Here is a 13041-nt window from a genome sequence, read left to right as displayed (position 1 = left end):
ATACAGCGCACATAGATGAAAAACTTAAAACACTGGCAAACTGAATAAGATCAGTTTTTTGTTTTTTTTTTTTAAGTTCAAGATAGGCAACTCTTTTTTTTTTTTCTTTTTGAGATGGAGTTCCGCTCTTGCTGCCCAGGCTGGAGTGCAATGGCGTGATCTCAGCTCACTCCAACCTCCCAAGATAGGCAACTCTTCATGAGAGTTATTATGGTGAAGTAATCAGTTTGTTCACTAGTTACGTGATTCCTACCATACCTCTTGTTCTTCTTGCCGTTTTTTAGCCGCCTCTTCCTTTTCCTTCTTTATTCTGAATTCTTCTTGTGCCTTCTGCTCTCTTAGCAACCACTCCTCATGTAATCTTTGCCTATCAGTATAATGATGTAATCAGATAAAAGAAATGGGCATTAATCCACAAATACACACACACACGAGAGCAAAATGACACATTTTGGGACTGATTCAAATATCACGAAAGCTATTTTCTATTAAAGCAGTCAAGTGGGTGTAAGAGAACGAGAAGAGCAGAGCTTTTGGAAAAGCACCACGTGTCAGCAACTATCTTCCTAATGGGTAATAACTTAAAATCTCTCTTACATTTCATAGGTATATATGGCTGTGACATACTTTACAGAAAAAAGGACACTATGACTTTCCCTCTAGACTGATCACAGTGATGTTTAGGTGACAATAAAATGGGTAGCAAGTTTCAAAGCAGCATCTACCTTTTCATATTCAGAAAGCATTTCCCTTCCTATTCTATGCATTTATTTTTATTTATTTATTTATTTTGAGACAGAGTATTACTCTGTTGCCCAGGCTGGAGTGCAGTGGCATGATCTTGGCTCACTGCAACCTCTGCCTCCCGGGTTCAAGTGATTCTCCTGCCTCAGCCTCCCGAGTAGCTGGGATTACAGGTGCCCACCACCACGCAAGGCTAATTTTTGTATTTTTAGTACAGACAGCGTTTCATCATGTTGGCCAGGCTGGTCTCGAACTCCTGACCTCAAGTGATCCACCTGCCTCGGCCTCCCAAAGTGCTGGGATTACATGTGTGAGCCACTGCACCCAGCCCCTATTCTTAAAAGTAGCAATTCCATGATGGCAGCACGCTGAAAACCCAGTATCCTTTGCCATAAACCTTTGGACTACTACTACACACAGTTAAGAGACTCCTGTGGTTTGCCTCCAAACACCTAAACAGCCAAAAGAAGGAAAATAAAAGTACATTGTAATCATGTTTTTAAAATAAAGCTACAGGTTTTAAGAAATGGAGTTATAAAAATAAATTAGTGAGGGCCGGGCGCAATGGCTCGCACCTGTAATCCAGCACTTTGGGAGGCTGAGGCGGGCGGATCACCTGAGGTCAGGAATTTGAGACCAGGCTGGCCAACATGGTGAACCCCATCTCTACTAAAAATACAAAAATTAGCCAGGCGTGGTGGCAGCCGCCTATAATCCCAGCTACTTGGGAGGCTGAGGCAGGAGAATCGCTTGAATCTGGGAGGCGGAGTTTGCAATGAGCCGAGATCATGCCACTGCACTCCAGCCTGGGTGACAGAGCGAGACTTCGTCTCAAAAAATGAAAAAATAAAAATAAATTAGTGAGTGTCTAGTCTATTTTTTATATGACCAATTATAATGAGTGGTATTACCTTAAAGTGGCAAGTGTCTCAGACATCCAATATCACAAATTTCTAATATAAAGAGGGGGTTAGATTGCCAAAGTCTACCTGCCAATTAGGTGTGTAGAACCTCAAATTCATTCTTCCACTGAATTTATAAAAGGGAAATTAAATATGAGAAACTGTTCTATATTACTTCAGCAGTATTAGGAGTTCAGTAAAGTTTTATGTCTAGTCTGGGGACCTAACCACAATTTTAAATAAAATATATTACATTTCCAAATACAGATTCCAGGAACACATCTTTTAGCCATGGCAGAGGCTGGCACATTGCATCTATCAGTGTTCCTATGCCATGTGTGAGGGTACCATATAGATGTTTCAGTGGGCACAACTCTGATTTACAAATCTTTTGAAAAACATATAATTGTATATAAATGAACCAAATGATATATAAATTAAGACCACAAGAAAGTAAAATGTTAAAAATTTTAAAATTTAATAACTTGAATATACATCTGCTTTGAAATAGGACATAAAGTCATACAGTATTTTTACATAATTTTCTTGCTTTTCAATAATAGTATGCAACTCATAAAGAAATAAAGATCTAAGGAGCACAAAGATACATGTATGTGATTTAAAAGAAGCATTTCAAATAAACAGGAAAAAAATTACTCTCTTATTTCATACCGTATCTATTGTCTTCATCATAACAGAAATCTATAATAATAAGAACTAGAGCTATCACAGCACCTCTCATCTGCTGACACTGTGTTAAACACTATACATCCATCACCTCCTTTAATCTTCACAATTCTGTGAGGTGGATACTGTGATTGACTTTATCTCCATATTACAGACAAGGAAATAGAAGCTTAGAGACATTAAGAAATTTCGGCTGAGCGCGGTGGCTCACACCTGTAATCTCAGCACTTTGTGAGGCCGAGGCGGGCAGATCATGAGGTCAAGAGATCGAGACCATCCTGGCCAACATGGTGAAACCCCATCTCTACTAAAAGTACAAAAAAAAATTAACTGGGTGTGGCGGTGCGTGCCTGTAATCCCGGCTACTCGGGAGGCTGAGGCAGGAGAATCGTGTGAACCTGGGAGGTGGAGGTTGCGGTGAGCGGAGATCACACCACTGCACTCCAGCCTGGTGACAGAACGAGAGTCCGTCTCAAACAAAACAAAACAAAAACAAATTTTAAAAAAACATGTATCCCAAAAGAGAAAGGTGTGAGACTTGAGCAATCTACAAATAGGTAATAAAACATATAAAAAGATACTCTACCTAATTCAGAAATGTGCATTTGAAACAGTTTCATTATAGTTTTATAAACTGATAATGCCTAGTATGAGTGAAGGTATGGGGAGATGGGCCCCTACATTCACTGCCAGAAGGGCTGCAAACTGCAAACCAGGAAGCCCTTTCTACCTGGCCATCTACATTTTACATGGACTTATGATTTGATTCCAACAATCTCATTTTTAGTCATGTTCTTAAGGAAATAACTGGACAATTACCAAGGATATATAAGCATGGATGCTTACTGCAACTTTTTACATATGAGTGAAAAACCAATATAACCTGAAAGTCCATCAGTAGAGAACTATAAATTATAAATGAATAAACTATGAATAGCAAATAAATTATGCTACATCTGTACAGTGGGTACTGTATTGCCACTGAAATGGCTGAATTAGATCCCTGCATCAGTACTGAAATAAATGCACTATATATTTAGCAAGAAAGCAATTTATAGAAAAATATGTATAAATATCATGCCATTATAGAAAGACACACGTAAAGTACATTTACACTTTCTTTTTCTCTTTCTTAACAGTGGCTATCTTTGGGTGTGTTGCAATTATTAAAGTCTTTTCCCTTTTTACATTTGTTAATTTTTTTTGTTTTTTTTCTGTTTTCAAAAACAATTACAGGTCAGGCGCAGTGGCTCATGCCTATAATCCCAGCACTTTGGGAGGCTGAGGCAGGCGGATCACTTGATCACAAGAGATCAAGACCACCCTGGCCGACATGGTGAAACCCTGTCTCTACTAAAAATACAAAAATTAGCTGGGTGTGGTGGTGCACACCTGTTGTCCCAGCTACTCGGAAGGCTGAGGCAGGAGAATCGCTTGAACCCGGGAGGCGGAGATTGCAGTGAGCTGAGATCATGCCACTGCACTCCAGCCTGGCAACAGAGCGAGACTCCGTCTAAAAAAAAAAAAAAAAAAAAGAAAGAAAAAAAATTATAAATTAGCAAAAACAGAAGAAAAGTACTTCCATTTTTAAAAAAAATAACATCTAGTTTTAGCCCATCAACTACAGATTTAAATACTTTATACAGGATATTTTATAAGACCTATTTGGTACAAGATTTTATACAGAAGACTGGTACTGGTTAGTAAAGGTTGATAATATTCCAATAAAATAACTTCATTCACTTTAAGTGTTTCAATTAGCACTGACCTCTCTCTTTCCAATAGCTTCTCTTCTTCTAGTTGTTGTTCTTCAATAAAAGTGTCCTCCTCTTCCTCCTTCTGTGAGAGTCCTAGGGAATTTAAATGTTTTATTAAACTGAGTGCTGCAAATCCTTGGTCAAAAATTCAGGAAAAAAATACATGTAATCTTTAATGTATAAAATTATGGTAAAAATCTTTTTCTTAAACTTTCTAACAAAAAGGTCTCTGATCAACCTTCTTTGGTACAACACAAGCATCAAAAAGGACAATAGGGGTGGCAGATAGCACATTACATTTAAAAATTAATCAATGGTTCCACAATTATACTTAAAAAGGAAATTAGCTTGGCATGGTGGCAGGCACCTGTAATCCCAGCTACTCGGGAAGCTGAGGCAGGAGAATCACTTGAACCCAGGAGGTGGAGGTTTCAGTGAGCCAAGATCGTGCCATTGCACTACAGCCTGGGCGACAAGAGTGAAACTCCATCTCAAAAAAAAAAAAAAAAAAGGTGGTGGGGGTGTGGAAGGGAACATCCATCTTCACAGAAGAATGGTAACTAAAAAATGGAGAAAAACTTAAGTAGAAAAATCATCACTTTTGCAACCCCCACTGTAAAAATTTAGACAAAGACATTAAAAACATCGAATGAAAGCTTGCTAGGAAGAGTATATTCACACTATCTCAACATATCACCCCAGACATGAGGACTAATTAGAAAAGAAAAAATGCAATGCTTTCCAATGGAGCGATCTGGACACTTTTTTTTTTTTTTTTTGAGACGGGAGTCTTGCTCTGTCGCCAGGCTGGAGTGCAATGGCGCGATCTTGGCTCACTGCAACCTCCGCCTCCTGGGTTCAAGCGATTCTCCTGCCTCAGCTTCCCAAGTAGCTGGGACTACAGGCGCGCGCCACCATGCCCAGCTAATTTTTGTATTTTTAGTGGAGACGGGGTTTCACCACATTGGCCAGGATGGTCTCAATCTCCTGACCTCGTGATCCGCCTGCCTCGGCCTCCCAAAGTGCTGGGATTACAGGCATGAGCCAGCATGTCCGGCCCTGGGTGGGTAACACCTTAACCACAGTTAGCATCACCGGGAGTGCAACAACCTGATGTGAAAGGTCTCATGATGTATGCAATAAGAAGTTTACAACATCTGCTCTGTAATCCTTTGTTCTAAAGAGTGTTGTTACCTGAAGTTAATCATGAGAAGACAGAACAATCCAGAATACAGGGCATTCCACAAGATAACTGGCTTGAGTTTTTCAAAACAATCAATCCTGGTTTGGGGAAGTTTAAATATGGCCTGTATATGATACCATTGAATTACTTGCTCATGTACTCAGGTGCAAGTTTGGTATTGTGGTTCTGCGGGAGAATGTCCTTATTCTTAGGAGTTGCAAGCTGAAGAATTTAGGGGTGAGGTGCTGCTATCTGCAACTGCCATCCAAAAGGTTCAGAAAAAATGTTCTATGTATGTATCTCTTTAAATAGAGAAAAAGAAAGAAAGGCCAAACTTTAACAACTGGCAAATCTTGCTGAAGGGTTCATGGATATTTATTGTGCTCTTTTTTTCAACTTTCTGTAGATTAGAACATTTCCCAAATAAAAACATGAAAAAACAACTTTTAATAGAATAGACATTTACATCCTCTCCCATTCAAAATTTGGGAAAAAAATCAGTGAAAGTGGAAGAGAAATGGAAGACTGAAATAATCTTAAAGAAATGTTACAGATGTCAGGCTTAAAGAAAAAAGAGTCTGTTTGTCACATGTGTTGAGTACAGTTCTAACTGAAGGCTCATCCAGTCTTAGATAATTACAATAATTTACTTTTCTTAAGTAAGTAAACTTTATTATTTCAGCAGCTGGAATTAAAATGGGCAACAAATGTAGAATAAGTTCTCAATCATATAAAATAGTATCTAATTGTTCAGATAATTAAATGATCTAATGTACTTAAAGCGCCAGAGAACCTGGCACAGAGGATATGGCCTGACTACTTGCAGAGGTATGCCATAGATTAGACAGGGCATAGACACAGCTGACACTCACAAACACCTGTTGACTGACTCACTCAACTCCCCATCACCTCGAAACCAAGCTCATATACTCCACAGAAGTGATTGCTAACAGTTCTGGGTACAGCATTTTCCCCACGTGTACAATCGGACATATGCAATACATATACATACAATACAGCTGACCCTTGAACAACACAGGTTTGAACCACCTTGGTCTATTTAAATACAGATTTTTTTTCAGTAAACACACTGGAACATTTAGGGGATATTTGCAACAATTTGAAAAAAAAAATAGGTAAGTGGCATGGCCTAGAAACACTGAAAAAAATTAAGAAAAAGGTATGTCATGAATGCATAAAATATATGTACATACTAGTCTATTTTATCATTTGCTACCATAAATATAAATCTATTATAAAACGTTAATGCAGAGCTGGGCGTGGTGGCTCATGCCTGGAATCCCAGCACTTTGGGAGGCCAAGGCGGGCGGATCACCTGAGGTCAGGAGTTCGAGACCAGCCTGGCCAACATGGTGAACCCCATCTCTACTAAAAATACAAAAATTAGCCGGGCGTGGTGGCAGCCCCCCGTAATCCCAGCTACTCGGGAGGCTGAGGGAGGAGAATTGCTTGAACCCGGGAGGTGGAGGTTGCAGTGAGTCAAGATCGCGCCACTGCACTCCAGCCTGGGAAACAAGAGCAAAACACCGTCTCAAAAAAAAAAAAAAAAAAAGTTAATGCAGATACTGTTAAGCAATATTGTGCTGGCTTGAGCAGCACATATACAGATACTGTTACAATATAAGTTAAGTGTTTTATTGTTTCCTTGCTTAAAGCATTTGAAACAGGCCAGGGAGCGGTGGCTCATGCCTGTAATCCTAGCACTTTCGGAGGCCGAGGTGGACGGATTACTTGAGGTCAGGAGATCGAGACCAGCCTGGCCAACATGGCGAAACCCCATCTCTACTAAAAATAAAAAAATTAGCCAGGTGTGGTGGTGCACGCCTGTAATCCCAGCTACTCAGGAAGCTGAGGCAGGAGAATTGCTTGAAACTGGGAAGCAGAGGTTGCAGTGAGCCGAAATTGCACCACTGCACCCTAGCCTGGGCGACAGAGCGAGACTCTGTCTCAAAAAAAAAAAAAAAAAAAAAAAAAAACGATTTGAAACAAAATGATCTCTGACTTCATTCCATTCTAAGACAGAGAAGTTCGGTCTCAAACATTTTTCCTTGAATATTACTATAAAAGTTGTGCTACAACATAATCATTGACAACTTTTTTTAAAGTTAAAATTTATCAAAACTTATATTTATAGACCATATATGGCACATTCACAGTTGAGAAAAATGTAAACAAACATAAATATGCAGTATTAAATCATAACTGCATGAAATTAACTGTAGTACAAAACAAGGAAAAAAACGCATCCAATGAGGTACAGAAGGAAGAAAAAAATTAACTGTAGTACACACTGCACTACTGCAATAATTTCATAGCCACCTCCTGCTGCTATTGCAGTGAGCTCAAATACTATGAGTATTCACTTAAAACACCTTGTGACACTACTCATCTCTGCATGAGCAGTTCATCTCTTCAGTAAATTGTGTATGGCAGTAAGAAGTGATCTCTGGCGTATTTTTCACTGTGTTTACTACAAAATGGTAAACCTTGAATAACATCATGAGACTCACACAAAGTGCGACTAGCGATGCTGGAAGTGCTCTCAAGAAGCAGAGAAAAGTCATGATGGCCGGGCGCGGTGGTGCGTGTCTGTAATCCCAACTACTCTGGAGGCTGAGGCAGGAGAATTGCTTCAACCCGGGAGGCGGAGGTTGCAGTGAGCCGAGTTCATGCCACTGCACTCCAGCCTGGGCGACAGAGCAAGACTCCATCTCAAAAAAAAAAACAAAAAACAAAAAAGAAAATCACTGAGGAGAAAGGATATCTGCGTGAATAGGACGCCCAGCTACTTTTTGTATTTTTAGCAGAGACAGGGTTTCACCATGTTGGCCAGGCTGCCCTCGAAGTCCCGACCTCGTGATCCACCCGCCTTGGCCTCCCAAAGTGCTAGGACTCCAGGCGTGAGCCACTGCGCCTGGCCTGAACAGGTTTTTAATGCAGATGAAAGTATCCTATTCTAGAAAAACACCACAAAGGACATTTAGTAGGAAGAGAAGCAAGCAGCAGGATTGAAAACAAAAAGAGACAGGCTAACTCTACTGTTTCATGAAAACGTAGTGGGGTTTATGATCAGAACTGCCCTTATCTATAAAGCTGCTAACCCCCACCCCCAATCCTTGAAGGGAAAAGATCAGCACCAGCTGCCTGTCTTTTGGTTGTACAACTAGAAGGCCTGGACAATGGAAATCCTTTTTTCTGAATTGGTTCCACTGATGCTTTGTCCCTGAAGTCAGGAAGTACCTTGCCAATAAGGAACTGGATTTTAAAATTATTTTAATATTGGACAATGCCCCTGGCCACCCAGAACCCCATGAGTTCAACACTGAAGGTGTCAAAGTGGTCTACTTGCCCCCAAACACAATGTTTCTAATTCAGCCTCTAGACCAGGGGGTCGTAAGAACCTCTAAAGCTCATTACACGTGGTACTCTACGGAAAGGATTGTCAATGCTATGGGAGAGAACCCTAATACAGAGAGTATCAAGAAAGTGTGTAAAGATTATACCATTGAAGATGCTATTGTTGTTATAGAAAAAGCCATGAAAATCATCAAGCCCAAAACAAAGTCCTGCTGGAGAAAAAAATGTGTCCAGATATTGTGCATGGCATCATTGGACTTAAGACAGAGCCAATCAAGGAAATCGTGAAAGAGATTGTAAATATGGGGGGGGGGGAAAAGTGCAGGGGGGTCGGGGTGAAGGGTCTCAAGATATCTTGAAGAAATTCAAGAGCTAACAGACACACCAGAGTAGTTAACAAAAGCCAATTTGATGGGGATGAGTCCTTCCAAACCAGTGCAAGGTGATGAGGAAGAAAACTGAGGTGAAGCAGTGCCAGAAAACAAATTGACACTAGACAATCTGGCAGAAGGGCCAATTATTCAAGACTGCTTTTGACTTCTTTTATGGACCCTTCTATACTGAAAACTAATGCATTTAAACTAAAGCAAGTGGTGGAAGAATTGGTACTGTATAGAAACATTTTTAGAGAAATGAAAAAGCAAAAATGTCAGACAGAAATTATAATGTATTTCTGCAAAGTTACACCAAGTGCCGTCTACCCTCTTGCCTTCCCTTCTACCTCCTCCACCTCTTCCACCTCTGCCACCCAAGAGAGCAAGACCAAATCATCCTCTTCCTCCTCGGCCTACTCAACATTAAGACAAGGAGAATGAAGACCTTTATGATGAACCACTTCCATTTAATGAAGGGCAAATATATTTTCTCCTCCTCGGGATTTTCTTAGTAACATTCTTTTCTCTAGCTTACTTTATTATAAGAATATGGTATATAATACATATAACATACAAAGTATGTGTTAATCAACTGTTTATGTTATTGGTAAGGCTTAGAGTCAACAGCAGGCACTTAATAGTAAGTTTTGGGGGAGTGAAAAGTTATATGCAAATTTTCCACTGTGGGGAGGGGCGGGGGGCGGTCAGAGTCCCCTAACTCCCACATTGTTCAAGGATCAAATGTATATCCAATGGTATTATACAGGTTGAGCACCCCAAATCCAAAAATGAGAAATATTTTGAGTGACAACAATGCTCAAAGGAAATGCTCATTGGAGCATTTCGAATTTTGGATCTTTGGATTTGGGATGCTGAACTGGTAAATACAACGCAAGCATTTCAGATAAGGGATACTCAACCTGTACATGTAACTGTACACACAGAATCATGCTATAGTTTTGCAACTTGCTTTTAATATCTTAATTTCTGACGAGGTAGCTTGTTTCCAGTTATCTGAAGTAGAATGGATGCCAAAGAAGCTATCTGTAATTAAGAGCTCACTATTCCAGAAATCATTTGCCAAGGCACTCCAATCATTTGCCAAGGCACTCTCATAGTTACACTCAACATTCTAGCCTTCTGGGTAATGTTTACCCATCTAACGTGTGCTACAATAAACAGCAGTGTTCCTGGCCGGGCGCAGTGGCTCACGCCTGTAATCCCAGCACTTTGGGAGGCCAAGGTGGGCAGATCACCTGAGATCAGGAGTTTGAGACCAGCCTGGCCAACATGGTGAAACCCCATCTCTACAAAAGTACAAGAATTAGCCGGGCATGATAGTGGGTACCTGTAATCCCAGCTACTCAGGAGGCTGAGGCAGAAGAATCACTTGAACCTGGGAGGCAGAGGTTACAGTGAGCCTAGATCGTGCCATTGCACTCCAGCCTGGGCGAGAGAGTGAGACTCTGTCTCAAAAAAAAAAACCAGGAGTGTTCCATAGTCTACAGTATTCATGAAGTACCACTAGGCAAAGAATTGTGAGTTGGAGTGGGCAAAAGTAGGAGCAGAAGTGCAGAGACAGGTGCTTAGTCTTGGATATGCCATTAGTTACATAATCTTGACAGACCAGTGACCTGGATTTAGTCCATTAAAATGGGCTAAACTACCATGGGACATGACTCGCCTGACTCTCCACAGAGGCTCATTCTGAACACATTTTGCTAAGTAAAAAGGAAAAAAAAAATCAAAACAATACAAATACCAGCTGTTATAGGATTTAGTGCAGGAAAAGAAAAAGAGAAAGAAGTTAAAACAAATTTAGAATATATAATATTTAGAATAAAACAGATTAAATGAACAAAGTAAAGTAGCTGAAAATTTCAAGGGGGGAGAGACGAAGTACAATAAGGGCCTCAATAACTCCAACCTATTCTACTTTTCCTTTTATCCCTGATGCTTTGTTCTGCCTCTAGTGGATGAGTTTTCAACTAATAAGACAGAAATGCTAACACAGGTTGCAGTTAAACACACTGCTCCTTCCATTCTAAATATCCCAGTACTGACACTAAAATAATTACTCAGGAACACCAATGGTAAATAAAACCTCTATGGCTATGTTTCTCAAGGTCCAAGAATCCTAGTTACTTGAGGCCATGGTCTCTGGATTTTAAGAATTGTCTAGGATAATTTCATGAGCATATTCTGGATAATGCGGATGACAATCATTATAAGCCAGTACTACTGTGTGATTTCAGTGCTCCCATCTGGATTTATAACTACTACATAATTTTATAACTAAGTCCTAATTTTATTGCATTAAGCAGGTAGATTTAATACATAAATGTTAGGTTTTGCCATGTGAAGGTCAAATGACCATCTGTACAAATAAAGGTTCTACAGTAATTTCATAGAAAAAGTGGTAAATAACTATAAGGCAACATTAGTAGAGGCATTCCAAACTCCCATCAGTGCCATATACATATTGTGAGGAGCATTAGTTTCACATCATCCCTAGCATTACCTGATGTAGATTTAAATTTTACCGAATGTGTAATTTCATTTAGTTTTATAATTTATAAATGTATTTTTATTTGTTTGTTTGTTTTTTGAGACAGAATCTCACTCTGTTGCCCAAACTGAAGTGCAGTGGCAGGATCTCGGCTCACTGCAACCTCTGCCTCCCAGGTTCAACTGATCCTCTTGCCTCAGCCTCCTGAGTAGCTGGGATTACAGGCACCTGCCACCAAGCCCAGCTAATCTTGTATTTTTAGTAGAGGCAGGGTTTCATCATGTTGGCCAGGCAGGTCTCGAACCCCTGACCTCAGGTGATCCATCTGCCTCGGCTTTCCAAAGTGCTGGGATTTCAGGCATGAGCCACCACGCGCCCAGCCCATATATTGTTTTATAGTCAAACAATGGCTTCAGGTCAGGTGTGGTGGCTCATGCCTATAATCCCAGCACTTTGGGAGGCCGAGGTGGAAGGATTGCTTGAGGCCAGGAGTTCGAGACCAGCCCAGGCAACACAGTGAAATCCCGTCTCTACGAAAATTTTAAAAATTAGCCAGGTGGGCCAGGGGCGGTAGCTCACGCCTTTAATCCCAGCACTTTGGGAGGCTGAGGTGGGTGGATCACCTGAGGTCAGAAGTTCGAAACCAGCCTGGCCAACATGATGGGGTTTCACCCCATCTCTACTAAAAATACAAAAATTAGCCGGGTGTGGTTGCGCACGCCTGTAATCCCAGCTACTCGGGAGGCTGCAGCAGGAGAACTGCTTGAACCCAGGGGGCGGAGGCTGCAGTGAGCCAAGATCGTGCCACTGCACTCCAGCCTGGGCAACAGAGCGAGACTCCGTCTCAAAAAAAAAAAAAAAAAAAAAGAAAAGAAAAGAAAAAATTAGCCAGGTGTGGTGGTGAATGCCTGTAGTCCCAGCTACTAGGGAGGCTGAGGTGGGAGGACTGCTTGAGCCTGGGAGGTGGAGGCTGCTGTGAGCCGTGGTTGTGCACATCCCTCCTGGGCAACAGAACAAGACCCTGTCTCAAAAATAAATAAATGAGCTTCATAACTAGTATTATGTTGATATATATTTGAATAACATAATAATTTGGGTAAACCAAGGGTCTCATATTAGTCAAGTTTGAGAAAAACTTGCAAAACGTCTAATTAATACCTTCAACTCCTGCTGGTTTTACGAAGAAAAACATTCACCGAATACTTACTACGTGTGCAAGGACTGTGCTAGCTGCTGTAATTCATGAAGCTTGCAACTGTAATATTAGATACTTTATAAGTTACACAGAATCAGTGGGCGATCATTCACCAAGACTTCCTCTTCCTGCCTTTAGTATGTTAACATTGTTTCTGACATGTGTTTCTAAATAACTACTTGGGGGCAGAAGTCACAGCTATTTTTCCTCCGACACAATATTTGACTTCCTTCTGACACTGGGGCTTCAAGTTAGGGCTGGAGTGGACAGAGCAATTTCACAACACAGAAAACAGAATAAAGAGTCCATCAC

The 13041-nt window shown here is 40.6% G+C and overlaps 1 protein-coding gene across 2 annotated transcripts in view, besides 1 other annotated feature; it reads right to left on the bottom strand.

Moving 5' to 3' along the window:
• The window catches only part of ZRSR2 (zinc finger CCCH-type, RNA binding motif and serine/arginine rich 2), a 32777-nt gene that overhangs the window by 19206 nt on the left and 530 nt on the right, over positions 1–13041 (bottom strand). The window contains exons 1-3 of one of the 2 annotated variants that reach the window (XM_011545589.4): positions 7805–13035; positions 4102–4172; positions 259–367 (exon numbers count right to left, since the gene is read on the bottom strand). In XM_011545589.4, the coding sequence (XP_011543891.3) occupies positions 259–367; positions 4102–4172; positions 7805–8005 (381 nt within the window). In that variant the 5' untranslated portion in view covers positions 8006–13035. Of the gene's footprint in view, positions 1–258; positions 368–4101; positions 4184–7804; positions 13036–13041 lie in introns of those variants that run through there. The other variant, NM_005089.4, reaches the window with a different exon arrangement.
• Positions 12084–12585: an enhancer, noted in NCBI's record as "H3K4me1 hESC enhancer chrX:15809593-15810094 (GRCh37/hg19 assembly coordinates)". NCBI's record gives its function as "activates a minimal SCP1, AML or CMV promoter by ChIP-STARR-seq in primed H9 embryonic stem cells {active_cell/tissue: H9 hESC(primed)}" and the evidence as "EXISTENCE:reporter gene assay evidence [ECO:0000049][PMID:30033119]".

Source organism: Homo sapiens, chromosome X (assembly GCF_000001405.40).
Source record: "Homo sapiens chromosome X, GRCh38.p14 Primary Assembly".
Taxonomy (NCBI): Eukaryota; Metazoa; Chordata; class Mammalia; order Primates; family Hominidae; genus Homo; species Homo sapiens.
Note: the sequence above shows the minus strand (reverse complement) of the source record. Positions and strands in the feature narration are given on the sequence as shown.